The sequence below is a fragment of the Homo sapiens genome, chromosome 20 (genome assembly GCF_000001405.40).
Source record: "Homo sapiens chromosome 20, GRCh38.p14 Primary Assembly".
NCBI lineage: Eukaryota > Metazoa > Chordata > Mammalia > Primates > Hominidae > Homo > Homo sapiens.
Window position 1 is genome coordinate 23,976,880 of NC_000020.11, and position 14,476 is coordinate 23,991,355.

The 14,476-nt window shown below is 56.2% G+C and overlaps 1 protein-coding gene and 1 pseudogene across 9 annotated transcripts, besides 1 other annotated feature; one reads left to right on the forward strand and one right to left on the reverse strand.

Annotated features, from left to right (window-relative positions):
- Positions 7,997-8,993: an enhancer, noted in NCBI's record as "H3K4me1 hESC enhancer chr20:23965513-23966509 (GRCh37/hg19 assembly coordinates)". NCBI's record gives its function as "activates a minimal SCP1, AML or CMV promoter by ChIP-STARR-seq in naive H9 embryonic stem cells {active_cell/tissue: H9 hESC(naive)}" and the evidence as "EXISTENCE:reporter gene assay evidence [ECO:0000049][PMID:30033119]".
- GGTLC1 (gamma-glutamyltransferase light chain 1) lies at positions 8,174-11,900 on the reverse strand. 9 transcript variants are annotated; one of them, XM_011529392.3, is made up of 7 exons: positions 11,730-11,900; positions 9,898-10,050; positions 9,557-9,705; positions 9,197-9,324; positions 8,983-9,095; positions 8,788-8,901; positions 8,174-8,483 (listed from the first exon to the last, which is right to left on the reverse strand). In XM_011529392.3, the coding sequence occupies exons 3-7, from the start codon at positions 9,640-9,642 to the stop codon at positions 8,337-8,339; spliced, it is 588 nt and encodes a 195-aa protein (XP_011527694.1). In that variant the 5' UTR covers positions 9,643-9,705; positions 9,898-10,050; positions 11,730-11,900; the 3' UTR covers positions 8,174-8,336. The 9 variants fall into 9 exon arrangements, with proteins under 9 accessions (XP_011527694.1, XP_005260922.1, XP_011527695.1 ...); XM_005260865.5 differs by having other exon boundaries at positions 9,557-9,766; XM_011529393.3 differs by lacking the exon at positions 9,898-10,050.
- POM121L3P (POM121 transmembrane nucleoporin like 3, pseudogene) lies at positions 12,413-13,568 on the forward strand (annotated as a pseudogene).

Here is a 14,476-nt window from a genome sequence, read left to right on the forward strand (position 1 = left end):
ACCCAGGAAGTGGAGGTTGCGGTGAGCTGAGATTGTGCCATTGCATTCCAGCCTGGGCAACAAGACCAAAACTCTGTCTCAAAAAAACAAAAAAAAAAAGAAGTTACTAGCTAGTTTCAGTAATTCTTAACATCCAGGAAACTGGATGTGAAAGCTTTTCAGAGAAACTAAACCAATAGGTTATACATAGAGAGAGATTTATTTAGGAATTGGCTCACATGATTGTGGGGACTAGCAAGTTTAAAATCTGTAGGGCAAGCCAGCAGGCTATAAATTCAGGTAAGAGTTGATCTCGAAGTCTGGAACCTAAAATCTGTAGAGCAGTCAGCAGGCCAGAAACTCAGGCAGGGTTTGTGTGTTATAGTCTTGAAGCAGAATTCCTGCTTCTCTTGGAAACCTCAGTTTTTGTTCTTAAGGCCTTCAACTGATTGGAGGTGGCCCACCCATATTATGGTGGGTAATCTGTTTTACTTAAAGTCAATTGACTGTCAGTGTTAATCACATCTATGAAATATTACCTCCCAGCAAGATATTGACAAGTATTTGACCAAACAACGGGGCACCATAGCTTAGCCAAGTTGACACATAAATTAACCATCAGGAGCGAGTAGAATATCCAAAAAACAACATACTAGGGGTATTATATCTTATATAGCTATTATAATTATATAAAACATATAATTATAGAATGAAGATATTAAGATAACCATTAGAACAAAAATATAAACTTTTCTTTCTTTCTTTTTTTTTTTTTTTTGAGACCAAGTCTTGCTCTGTCACCCAGGCTGGAGTGCAGTGGTGCAATCTTGGCTTACTGCAACCTTTGCCTCCTGGGTTCAAGTGATTCTCCTGTCTCAGCCTCCCAAGTAGCTGGGATTACAGGCACCCGCTACCATGCCCAGCTAATTTTTGTATTTTTAGGAGAGACGTGGTTTCACCATGTTGCCCAGGCTGGTCTCCAACTCCTGACCTCAAGTGAGCCACCCCCCTCAGCCTCCCAAAGTGCTGGGATTACAGGTGTGAGCCACCACACCCAGCCAAAAATCACCTTTTTTACAAGGATCAAAACAGTCATTATGCTGGAGATGACAGACCTCACTGTCACCATGCTCCTTTTGTATGTCTACTAGGCACGGTGCTGGGTCCACACTCACAGAAAGCTTAGGAACTCGCACCCAGGGGCTCCAGCTGTAGCAGAATCCCAAGAGTAAAACCTGGTGCTGAAAGAGTAGGAGATGGGGCCGGGCACCACGACTCACTCCTTTAATTCCAGCACTTTGGGAGGCCAAGGCGGGCGAATCAAGAGATAGAGACCATCCCGGCCAGCATGGTGAAACCCCGTCTCTACTAAAAATACAAAAATTAGCTGGGCGTGGTGGCTGGCACCTGCAGTCCCAGCTACTCAGGAGGCTGAGGCAGGAGAATCATTTGAACCAAGGAAGCAGAGGTTGCAGTGAGCTGAGATCGCGCCACTGCACTCCAGCCTGGTGACAGAGCGAGACACCATCTCAAAAAAAAAAAAAAAAAAAAGCAGGAGACTGAACTCTGGGAGGGCCTCCTGGTGAGAGGTGAGCACAAAGGGGAGAGATGGAGGCAGGAACATGGGCTTCTGGTGGCCCCAGCAGACCCTGTGGCAGCGTGGCCAGGGTCCTCTGCAGGGAGGAATCTTGGCCAGGATGATGCTGTAGCAGGCCTCTTCCTGAGGCCTCCAGCCAGCCCGGCCAGGGACCCAGCATCCAGTGACCCCTGTTTCGCAGCAGCAGCTGGGGCCAGCCCCAGGCTCTCTTCCACTCCCAGCTTCTTAAAACAGGAAGTGGAGAGAGTTGTTTGATAAAACTCTCTCTTCACCAAGGGAGAGTTCGAGGGGATGCCAGCAGAGGGAGCTTTAGAGTAGAGACCCCTACCCAACCAGTGACAGTCACGCACACAGCAGGGCATGCTATGGAGACCCCCAGACAGTCACTCGGGGAGACCCAGCAGGTCCAGACTCTTCAGAGATCTGTGGCAGCAGGTCCCCACTCCCAAAAGCCACGTGCCCACGGGTGGTCTCTGGTGCCTGAGACCCCAGTCTCATTTGCATCTTTGCAACTTTGAGTTTAAGTGGGTGTCGCATCCTTTATGTCCTCCTGAGCAGAGGAGGGGCACAGCCTGGGGTGGCAGCTGGCGTCAAACCCTCAAATCCCCTGAGAGCCACTGGGGAGACTAAGCAGTCCCCAGCCCCCACTTGTCCCTGAGCTGCCATTCTCAGCCCTGTGGGAGGAGACAGAAAGCCCTGAAGAGAAACCAAAGGACCAGGTCAGGAGGGGCTGGGGGGGTGGCATGAGCAATCAGGGCAGGGAAGGATGGACAGATGGGGGAATGGAGGGAAGAAGGAATGAATGAAAAGGTGAATGAATGAACAAAGAGAGAGAACGGCCACTCCTCCCTTGCTTTAGTTTACGAAGTACTGGGATCCTCCCAACAGCCTGCAAGACAATTTCTGGGAAGCAGACCAGGTGGCTGGCAGGGAGGGGAGGCTTGCCCTGGCTTTTGTGGGCCCAATGGGAGGCAGGGGGCAGGAAGGGGCATCCTGTATGTGTCCTCCCTGCAGCGGCAGCAGCACCTTCCTGGAAGAGGGTCAGGAAACACCCACTGTGGCCCCTCTCCATCACGCCCTCATCCAGGACACCAAGTATCAGTCACTCAGCTCACGAGACCCAGGCCCTGATTCAGGGAGAGAGGATGTGAGGGGTGGGGCACCGGGCTCCTCAGGACTGAGAGACCTGAGATGTGGCCCCGGGCTGGGTGTTAGGGCAGACTGGCTATGGCAGCATTGTGTGTACCCCAGCAGGCCAGTACCCACGCAGGGAGCCTCCAAACCCCTTCACCCATGACCCTGGGAGAAGACCCCAGCCTTGGAGAATTGGCCTCACTGAAGGGGCCTGCACCGGCCAGCAGGGTCAGGCGGGGCCAGACAGGTTCCCACCTGGGATATGCAAATGGGCCTCCTGAATCCTGGAGCCAGGTATGGACTCACACACCACCATTGTTCCCAAGTCCCCATCTGCCCCACGGGCACACCCTGCCACCTGTTCTGTGCAAAGTCCCTGAGGCTGTCTCCTTGCGCTCAAGCCCTGCAGGTGTTGAAGCTCACACACACAGCTCCTGCTTCTTGGGCCAGTGCACGTTCACACACACGCGCACACACACACTCACACACCCACACATACACATACCCACACACAATCACACACATTCATACACACCCACACCCCCATACTCACACTCACACACTCACACACACCCACAAACACCCACACATACACTCACACACACATTTACACACACCCACACACTCACACACACACTCATAGTCACACACACCCTCACACAGCAAAACACAATCACACACATTCACACCCACCCACGCCCCCCACACTCACACTCACATACCCACACACACCCACACACTCATACACACACAAACAAACACAATCACACACATTTACACACACCCACACTCACACATACACACACAAACACGATCACACACATTCACACACACCCACACCCCACACTCACACTCACACATATACCCACACACACTCACATATAATCTCTCACACACACATATGCTCACACACACACTCTCACATACACGCCTTCTCCAGGAGGGGCTGGCTGCCAAGGGCCACCCAGCTTCCTCCCACGTCTCACTCACCCTACAATATTTGAGCAGACCTTGGAGTCAGCAGCAACAGCGGCGTGGGCAAAGGCCTGGGGGTCAAATGGGGCCTGGTGTCGAGAGAGGACCACAGCCAGCACAATGACAGCCAGCGCCAGCCCCAGCCCCAGAAGGACCAGGCCAACCATGGCTCTGCAGTCCTGGACCGTGGCTCTGCGGCCCAGAAGGAGAGGGGAGGCCGGTGGGCAGACGGAGGGACAGATGGGTGGGCAGATGAATGGACAAGAAAATGCATAGATAGACTCACAGGTAATTGGACAGATGGACAAACAGGTGGGGGCTGAAGACAGACACGAAGATGGATCGACAGATAGGCCAGATAGCTAGACAAAGAGGACAGTAAGAGAAAGATGGTCAGATAGACAATGGGACAGAGATGGGCTTACAGATGGGCGGACAGACAGACAGGTCTGAACAGCGGGCTGCCAGATGGACAGATGGGTGAATGGACAGACGCCTGGCAGCTGTGGCGAGTTGCTGCCCTCACCAAGTGCACACTACGGAGTGGCCAAACTCACGCCTCAACTTCTAGTTTTCAGCTCCTGCTTGTTGCTGGCAGGAGGCCAGGCAGCAAAGTGTCTGAGGGGAGTTTTCCTTGCCTACAGAAGTCAGCTGCTGTGTTAACTCCCTCACTGCTGGTAGGTCCAAAGGCCCCACCTACCGCCCGCCAGAGCCCAGGGTCACACTGTCGCAATGTGCAGGAGAACTTGGTGCCTGCTGCATTGCGGTTGCCAGGTAGGGGCAGGGCTCCCCGGAACCTCCACACCATTTCCCGGGTTCTCAGCAGCTCTAGGAAAGCAGAGCTGGGGCCGCTTAACTCTGCCCTGGATCCGGCAAGGCTGCCCCCGTCTCAGAGTGGAGCCCTGCTCCCCAGCTCCCATCTCTATCCCCTAACCCTCTCCTCATGGCCCAGCCTAGTCAGCATCAAGGTGGAGCTGAACAGAGGCAGAGGGAGGAGGACCCAAGGTGGTGTCACTCAGGACCCGGGTTCAAGTCCTTATGCTTCTGCAGCCTGGCCTGGGTCCCCCAACCCCCCAGGGTGATCAAGGGCTTCCCAGTCTGCACAGACGACAGGGGGACTTGACAGCATCAAATGCTGGTGACTACAAGACGCCCCTGTGGGGAATGCAGACAGACCATGCCTCTAGCCCTTGGCACCCGGCACCATCCATCCCTGGGACTTGCTGTCCTGGAAATGCAGCATGGACCTCCAGGGAGGGGGGCTGTGCCATGTGGGGGCTCCACCCCTCCTGCAGCTCTTTCCCACCCTGGCTGCAGGTCTGCTTCCCTGAATCCAAATCCGCTACTACTGTGCTGGCAGCGCAGCCTCTCTGGGGACACTGGCCTGGCTCTGTTCTCCCCAGGCCTCAGGGTGCCTAAATGGGAGGCAGCCAGGAGAGTGAGGACCCACTGAGGGGCTCTGTTGACCAGGCTCAGCAGGGGTGCAGGTGATGTGGGCTGGACTTCTTCCCACGTGGCCCCCATAGTCCTCCGCACTTCCTCCCCAGCTGAACACTGCCTGCTCCAGATGTCTACACCTGGAGTCTGGGCCCCTCCATCTGGGCAGCAGAGAAACTGAGGCACAGAGACAGACTGTGTCCTTACAGGCCACACAGCCTGCCAGGCCCCTATGTCTGGCCAGAGCCCCTGGTGAGCCTGGGCTGCAGTGATTGTTTAGAGGCAGGCTGTTCCCACGGCTGCTTCTCATGGTAGGGGGGCCTGCGGACGCCTCCTCCCGTCCCCACCCGACTCCCAAGCCTCAGTGACATTGCTCAACCAGGAGCTGAAGTGCATTCCTGGGCTCAGGCCAGCCCACCCACCCACCCGCTGCAGTCCTGGAAGCTCAGAGGCCTGGGCAGCAGGAACAGTGGGGGCAGCAGGAACAGTGGAGACAGCAGCGTGGGGGACGTCCCCCCTCCTCTCTCCACCATCCTGGTCAGGCAAGAGGACAGGGTGCAGGGACCGCCTGAGCAAAGGCCCAGGGAAATGAATGGGTGTCATTCTGGTCCTGACCTGAGGCACAGCCAGGAAGGTCCCTGTGGGGAAAAGAAAGAGATATCAGACTGTTACTGTGTCTATGTAGAAAGAAGTAGACGTAAGAGGCTCCATTTTGTTCTGTACTAAGAAAAATTCTTTTGCCTTGAGATGCTGTTAATCTGTAACCCTAGCCCCAACCCTGTGCTCACAGAAACATGTCCTGTGTCAACTCAAGGTTTAATGGATTAAGGGCTGTGCCAGGATGTGCTTTGTTAAACAAATGCTTGAAGGCAGCATGCTTGTTAAAAGTCATCACCACTCCCTAATCTCAAGTAAGCAGGGACACAAAACACTGCAGAAGGCCGCAGGGACCTCTGCCTAGGAAAGCCAGGTATTGTCCAAGGTTTCTCCCCATGTGACAGTCTGAAATATGGCCTCGTGGCAAGGGAAAGACCTGACCATCCCCCAGCCTGACACCCGTAAAGGGTCTGTGCTGAGGAGGATTAGTAAAAGAGGAAGGCCTCTTTGCAGCTGAGATAAGAGGAAGGCATCTCTCTCCTGATCGTCCCTGGGCAAAGGAATGTCTCAGTGTAAAACCCAATTGTATATTCCATCTACTGAGATAGGAGAAAACTGCCTTAGGGCTGGAGGTGGGACATGCTGGTGGCAATACTGCTCTTTAATGCATTGAGATGTTTATGTATATGCACATCAAAGCACAGCACCTTTTTCTTAACCTTGTTTATGACACAGAGACATTTGTTCACATGTTTTCCTGCTGACCCTCTCCTCACTATTACCATATTGTCCTGCCACATCCCCTTCTCTGAGATGGTAGAGATAATGATCAATAAATACTAGGGAACTCAGAGACTGGTGCCAGCGTGGGGACTCCGTATGCTGAGCGCAGGTCCCCTGGGCCCACTTTTCTTTCTCCATACTTTGTCTCTGTGTCTCTTTCTTTTCTCAGTCTCTTGTCCAACCTGATGAGAAACACCCACAGATGTGGAGGGGCAGGCCACTCCTTCAGGTCCCTGAATGTCCTTCCTCAGGAAATGATGGGGGAAGGGGCGATGAGAATGAAGGAGAGGATTTAAGTCCCTCACCACCCGAGGTAGTCCTGGGCTGAGCCCCATGGGACCTGGAGAACCAGGGTGTACCCCACCAGTGTGTCGAGTCGAGGAAGCCTTGTGGCCAGCTCCCACTTCTCTTGCTGCTGTGCAACCCAGAGCAAGGCCTGCCCCTCCAGCTTCAGTCTTCTCCCCTGTAAATGGGGCCACGGCCTTTCCTCTCAGGCCAAAATAAGGATTGAGGCCGGGTGCAGTGGCTCACCCCTGTAATCTTAGCACTTTGGGAGACTGAGATGGGGGCACTGCTTGAAGTCAGGAGTTAAGACCAGCCTGGTCAACATAGTGAGACCCCATCTCTATTGGTTTAATTTTTTTTTAAAAAAATTAAATAAATAAAATAAGGATTGAGGAATGACTTGTACACCATTTGAGCCCACCTCCGTCTCACCCCTGCAGAGCCCCAGAGACACAGCCCTCCAGAGCTCAGACCCAGTGGGACTTGACTCCACAGGCATAAAACCCTGTTTGTCTATGGGCCCTTTGGAATCACCAGGTTTTCGGGGCTCCTGAAGGATAGCCCCGACCTGGCCTCACCTGGCCCCTGGCCCCAGTGCCCCTGGTGATATCCAGGTGCTGGGCTGTGATCACCGCCTCCCACCAGCCCACCTCCACCAGCCCTTCCCAGAACCCTGCCCCAGGTGTTGGAACTGTGCACAGAGGAGGGAGCAGGCCCTGAGGGAGGCCTGGAGGGGCTGCGGATGGTGAAGGCTGCTGTGTCTAGCTGTTTCCTTCTGGACCCACTCCCTCTGGGCTGCGTCCCCGGCTGGTCCAAGCCCTGATCCCTGGGATCTGGGGACATCTTCCCGTTTGCTGTTCCCTGAGAACCAGGCCTCCCTCTGGAGAGGATCACAAGCTTGGGTTTCACTCTGGGCTTGCTCTTGGAAACCCCCCAGGGGCGTGGCTCTGACCGAGATGTTTTCCTGCAGCCTGTTGCCCAGTCCCCATTCCTCGGACCTCAGCTTCACATCCAGTGTCCTCGGCAGGGTGAGCTAGACGCCTACGGGTCTGAGAAGGCGCCCGGGTTCCCAGCATCAGCTGGCCACCCTCTGCCTAAGAAAGTGCCAGGGTCGTGGCACCCCCTGGTGGCTGATCCTAGGTAGTGTCACTGCCCAGCCCCAGTAAGGGAGGGCCTGGCCCCAAAGTTCAAGGGATCAGGGTGGAAAGGGGCAGGGCTTGGTGTGAACCTTCCCCTGGCCCCCAGCCATGTGCCTGGCTCTCCCCATGCTGAAGATGCTGAGGCTAGTTCCAGTGCCCGCATTGTGAAGATCTCCGAATCCCACCTCTCTGTTCCTCCCCAGCCAGATGGCTCCATTTCACACACAATACACTGAGGCCCAGAGAGTGGGGAGACAGGCCAGGGAGGCCACCTGGAGCCTGGCACAGTGGCCTCATTTATTGTGCTGCTCTGCTGCTCACAGGAGAAGCCTGTCCCCCAAAGTCCTCTTCCTCGTCCTGGTGAGTATTTTGTTCCTGGATTGCTTGTCAGCCTTGTCCGCCTGGAGCAATCAGTAGCCAGCAGGTTCCCCACCTTTCCTGGAGTCCGAGGCAGCTGCCCAGCCACCAGCCATGCGGACGATGGCTTGCACCACAGCAATGAAGGTGGACGTGATCTGGGTGTGATGGTGCCGGGTCTCCAGGGCTGCAGTCACTTCCTGGGGGTGGGAGGAGAGGGGAAGCCTGAGCAGGGCTCCAGATGCCACCTGAACCACACCTGTGTGGTCACAGGCCTCAGCCCAGGTGGTGCCATTTCAGGCCAGGTCATCAGGAAGAGCAGGTTGGGGCCTGCTGGGTCTCATTGGAGCAAGGGGTTTGGCCCTCATGGCACAGGGGCTCCAGATGGCCCAGGCACTAGAGAGAGGACACCAACCATTGTCCACTCTGTGATGATCCAGGCCTCCAGCCCACGATGCCCTGGGGCCCCACACCGTGACTCAGTTTCTCCAACCCCCAGCCCACCTGGTCAATGTTTCTCTCCACTGTCGTGACGTTGGGCAGAAGCTGGTTGTGCAGCCGGGGCTCCTCCACGGCCCACTTCACGTCATAGCCGAACCAGAGGTTGTAGATGATGGCCTGGGGCATGGGAGTGTGATCAGCATGGCTTGGGGGCTGTGCAGGGTGGGCACGGCCAGGGAGAAAAGGTGTGACACATACCAGTGCAGTGGCCATGGTGATCTGCGTGCCCCCGGCAGCTCCCACCACCATCCGGACCTGGCCGTCCTGGCCCACCATGATCGTCGGGCACATGGACGAGAGCGGCTGCTTCCCTGCGGCCAATGGGAGAAGACAGGGATGCCCGTCAGCTGCCTGCCCAGGACACCCGCCCCTCTCCACCCCAGTCCCCCACCCTCGGACCTCCACCCCATACCTGGCTGGATGAAATTGGCAGGTGAGGGGGGTACCCCAAACTCGTTGGTGATGCTGGTAGAGCTGAAGTCATCCATTTCATTATTGAGCAGGATCCCGCTGACTGGGGAGCGCACCTTGGAGCCAAAGCTATCGCCCAGCCAGGTCAGACAGTGCCCGACCTTGCCTGGCCCAGCCTGGTCCCTATCCACCCACTGAGGCTCAAACATACTCACTGAGAGGCTCAGGATAAGCTACCAAGGTTGGGCCTCAGTTTCCCACCAGGAAAAGAGGTGATGGAGCCACCTTACTGGATAAGTGGGCAGTCCCTGAGCCACCCTCCCCTGGCCCTTTCCCACCCAGGCGGCCCAGCAGCCCCTACTAGAGGTTGATGGTGCTGGTGGCGGACACAGCACTGCCGTCCTCTGCGACCACAGACAGGTGAGCAGTGCCCCCGTCATCCGGCATGTAGAACTCGGGCTTGTAGTAGGAGATCGGGTGAGTGGTGTCGTCAGAGATCTGGGCCCGGAGCTGGGCAGAGAAGAACTCGGAGGTCATGTCGCGGACCACCTGCCGAGACCCCAGAGCTGGCCTAGGGAGGTGGGGAGGGAGGGTGGGGAGGGGGCACAGGTCTCAGAAGGCCCCTGACTGTGGCTCTGACCACAACCCTCTGGCACCCACAACCTTCCGTGGCTCCCCAGGACCCAAGGGCAGGCCCAGGACCTTGCATGACCAGTCTGACTCCCTGTCTCTGTCGCATTCCAGCAACTCTGAATGTTTGTCTGCCTGGTCCTCAGCCTCCAGACCCTTGCTGCATTCAATCACTCATTCCTTCATGCAAAAAATATTTCTAGAGTTTGCACTGCATGCCTGGCACTGGGGAATCAATAGGAAACAGACACTTAGGTCCTGCCCTCATGCCAAGAAAAACAAACACACACAGCGAAAGTGCTGAAACCACAAGCCAGGTAAGGGGAATCAAGAGGCATGAGGTATGGGCAGAGTGGTTAGGGAGAGCTTCTCAGAGGAGGCAATGTGTGAAAAGAGCCTGGAATGTGGCCTAAATGGTCAGTGCAAAGGCCCTGAGGCAGGTGGTATAGGCTGGTGAGCGATAGGCAGAGAGTGAATGGAGTGGGGTGGGGAGAAAAGGCTGAAGATGCAGGCTGGGGCCCATCCCACAGGACATCCTAGGTCCCATAACAACTGGCTTTTGCTCTGTGCCATGCAGGCTTAGGGCAGAGGAATGAGCAGGCTGGGGAGTGTTTTCACAGGGTCCCTCTGGCAGCTATGACGGGGATAAGGATAAAGTCCAAAGGGGAGGCTGTGGGTATCAACCAGGCAAGAGATGATGGCCTGGGTGGGAGAAAGAGAAGAATCAAGGATGGCGCCGACTAGCGAGGTAAACTCTGCAGAAGGGGCAGGTTTGGGGATGGTCAGGAGCTTGATTTTGGATACTTCATCAGACCTGAAGAGCATGGGTGCACGTATAAAAAAAATAAATAAATAAGCATGGGTTCACGGGCAAGGGCGGGCTGAGAGATGAACATGGAGGTATTGACATTGAGTGGCTGCTGGATGCCATGAGCCTGGCCAAGGTCCCCAAGGCAGTGGCGAGGAGGAGATGAGGAGGTCAAGGAGGAGACAGAGAGGATGGACCCGAAGGCCGAAGAAAATGCCTCAAGGGAGTTTCAACACCGGGCGCGGTGGCTCACGGCTGTAATCCCAGCACTTTGGGAGGCCGAGGCCTGTAATCCCAGCACTTTGGGAGGGCGGATCACGACGTCAGGAGATCGAGACCATCCTGGCTAACACAGTGAAACCCCGTCTCTACTAAAAATACAAAAAATTAGCCGGGTGTGGTGGCGGGCGCCTGTAGTCCCAACTCCAGAGGCTGAGGCAGGAGAATGGCGTGAACCCGGTAGGCGGAGCTTGCGGTGAGCCGAGATCAGGCCACTGGAATCCAGGCTGGGCGACAGAGGGAGACTCCATCTCAAAAAAAAAAAAAAAAAAAAAAAGAGTCTGGCTCTGTTGCCCAGGCTGGAGTGCAGTGGCGTGATCTCGGCACATCACAATCCCTTCCCCACCCCCGGGTTCAAGTGATTCTTGTGTCTCAACCGCCGGAGTAGCTGGGACTACAGGCGCATGCCACCATGTCTGACTAAATTTGTATTTTTACTAGAGACGGGGTTTCGCTATGTTGGCCAGGCTGGTCTCCAACTCCTGAGCTCGTGATCCGTCCGCTCCGACCTCCCAAAGTGCTAGGATTATAGGCATAAGCCACCACGCCCGGCCTCTTTTTTTTCTTTTTCTTTATTTGGAGACTGAGTTTTGCACTTGTTGCCCAGGCTGGAGTGCAATGGCGCGATCTCAGCTCACTGCAATCTCCACCTCAGCAGGAGAGCAGGAATCTTCAGTGATCCACGGGCAGATCTGCCGCCATTGTGGGCACCTGTTCCTCCCGCGACCTTTGTGCCCGTGTCTCTCCTTCCAGTACCTATTGCATGACCCCCCACGTCCGCCTCCCGCCATTGCCAGCAAGTGCCTTGCGCGGGTACCTGGCTGCGCTTATTAATCCGTTAAGCTCACTCTGTCACCGGCGCCATTAAGTGCTCACGCGCCCACTCCCTCAGGTTTAAAAGGCGCGTTGCCCGGCAGCAGAAGAAACTGCTGGCTTCGCCTTTGGCCGAGTTGGCGGCTGGACGAGGACGCAGAGCCCAGCTCTCGAGAGTTCAAGCAACCGACGGTTCCCCAGGGCTCCCAGGAGCGGTTACCTGGGCACTCTGTGCCCCTCCTTCCTGTTCGGGCCCAGGCCTAGGACCTGCCAGTAGGGCTCAGTTGCCTGGAGCCGGTTCAGCCCATCCCCCAGTTCACTTTGCTTGTGGGATCTCCCCGTTGCTCCTGCCTGTGGACTGAGTGGCAGGCCATCCTACAAGCACCCGGACACTTGACATCAGTGGTGTCAAGACAACTCTAAGAAGGTTTTCCGTGATCCTGCAAGCCCTGCGTTCCTTCCTGGGATCCTGCTTTCAATTTGATTGCACAGGTACCACAGCAAGCCAGTGCTGTGTGCTCTGAGTTCCAGGGCGTCCTCCAGCTCAGCCACTCCACTGAGCACAAGGACTCTCTGTGGGGCCCAGGAGCCGGGAGTCACCCCTTTGGTGTCCAAAACACCCGGCTGTCCCCAGACTTGTGTCCAGGGAAGACAGTGTTGAGGGCCCTCAAGGAGAGCGGGGCAGGGATGCCTGAGCAGGACAAGGACCCTAGAGTCCAAGAGAATCCTGATGATCAGAGAAGGGTCCCCGAGGTCACCGGGGATGCACGGTCTGCATTTCGGCCCCTGCGGGACAATGGAGGCCTCTCTCTCCCTTTGTGCCCGGGCCCGGGCCTCTGCAGACAGACCTCCATACCCAGAGGTGAGAAATCAGATATAACCAGACATCCCAGACCTCCTGGACGAGCTCCTGCACCAAACGAAATGCCATCTCCAGCTCCTGCAGCTCCACGGGAGGCTTGCCGGGGCTAAAGCGGAGGAGGGGACCAGCCTCATCCCACAGCCAGCTGACCCTCAGTTCCTCAAAGACAGTGGGTGAGGACAGGCTTCAGGCTGTCTCTTCGGGTCACACCCAGTGTGAAAAGGCAGCAGATATAGCACCAGGGCAGACACTCACCCTCAGGAATGACTCCTCCATATCCGAGGCCTCTAGGCCCAGTATACACAAGTTTCCCCTGCTGCCATGCAGGCGAGGGGAGCCTTTGATGCTGCCACCTCCCTTAGAGCTGGGGTACCGGGTCACTGTTGAAGACCTGGACCGGGAGAAGGAGGCAGCATTCCAGCGCATCAATAGTGCACTGCAGGTTGAGGACAAGGCCATCTCGGACTGCAGACTCTCACGGCCTTCCCACACTTTGTCCTCACTTGCAACAGGGACTTCTGGTCTGCCTGCCGTTTCTAAAGCACCCAGTATGGATGCACAGCAGGAGAGACACAAGTCCCAAGACTGCCTGGGCCTACTGGCCCCCCTAGCACCTGCTGCAGAGGTCCCCTCTACAGCTCCCATGTCTGGGAAGAAGCACAGACCACCAGGCCCCCTGTTCTCCTCCTCAGATCCCCTTCCTGCCACCTCTTCCCACTCCCAGGACTCAGCCCAGGTCACCTCGCTGATTCCTGCCCCCTTCCCAGCTGCAAGCATGGATGCGGGCATGAGAAGAACAAGCCCTGGCACTTCTGCTCCTGCAGCCGCAGCAGCCCCTCCCCCCTCCACATTGAACCCCACGTTGGGGTCACTACTAGAGTGGATAGAGGCCCTTCACATTTCTGGGCCTCAGCCACAGCTGCAGCAGGTGCCCAGAGGTCAGAACCAGAGATCCCAGACCTCCCGGACCAGCTCGTGCCCCAAACGAAAGGCCATCTCCAGCTCCTACAGCTCTACGGGAGGCCTCCCGGAACGAAAGCGGAGGAGGGGGCCAGCCTCATCCCACTGCCAGCTGACCCTCAGTTCCTCAAACACAGTGAGTGAGGACGGACCTCAGGCTGTCTCTTCGGGTCACACCCATTGTGAAAAGACGGCAGATACAGCACCAGGGCAGACACTCGCCCCCAGGGGTGGCTTCCCCAGATCCCAGGCCTCTAGGCCCTGTAGACACAAGTTTCCCCTGCTGCCACGCAGGCGAGGGGAGCCTTTGATGCTGCCTCCTCCCTTAGAGCTGGGGTACCGGGTCACTGCTGAAGACCTGGACCGGGAGAAGGAGGTGGCATTCCAGCGCATCAAGAGTGCACTGCAGGTTGAGGACAAGGCCATCTAGGACTGCAGACCCTCATGGCCTTCCCACACTTTGTCCTCACTTGCAACAGGGGCTTCTGGTCTGCCTGCCATTTCTAAAGCACCCAGTATGGATGCACAGCAGGAGAGACACAAGTCCCAAGACTGCCTGGGCCTAGTGGCCCCCCAGCATCTGCTGCACAGGCCTGTAGTCCCAGCTACTCGGGAGGCTGAGGCAGGAGAACGGCATAAACCCGGGAGGCAGAGCTTGCAGTGAGCTGAGATTGTGCCACTGCACTCCAGCCTGGGTGGCAGAGCGAGACTCCGTCTCAAAAAAAAAGAAAAAGAAAAAAAAGTTCTTGTGACATTTGTGTATGAAATCAGCCTTCACTACATGGATAGGACCAGCACGCTTCCGCGGCACGACTCTGCAATCTTACTACATTTTTTTTTTATTTTGTATTTTATTTATTCCTTTTGAGACAGAGTCTCACTCTGTCACCCAGGCTGAAGTGCAGCCGAGATCTCGGCTCACTGCAACC

What these genes read in the sequence shown, in the direction of transcription:
- GGTLC1 (XM_005260863.5), bottom strand. Translation starts at nt 9,732, where the DNA reads ATGACCTCCGAGTTCTTCTCTGCCCAGCTCCGGGCCCAGATCTCTGAC. An exon ending in TGCCAATTTCATCCAGCCAG is followed by an intron (nt 9,096 to 9,196) that starts GTATGGGGTGGA and finishes CATTGGCCGCAG; the next exon opens with GGAAGCAGCCGCTCTCGTCC. An exon ending in TGGAGAGAAACATTGACCAG is followed by an intron (nt 8,484 to 8,787) that starts GTGGGCTGGGGG and finishes TCCCACCCCCAG; the next exon opens with GAAGTGACTGCAGCCCTGGA.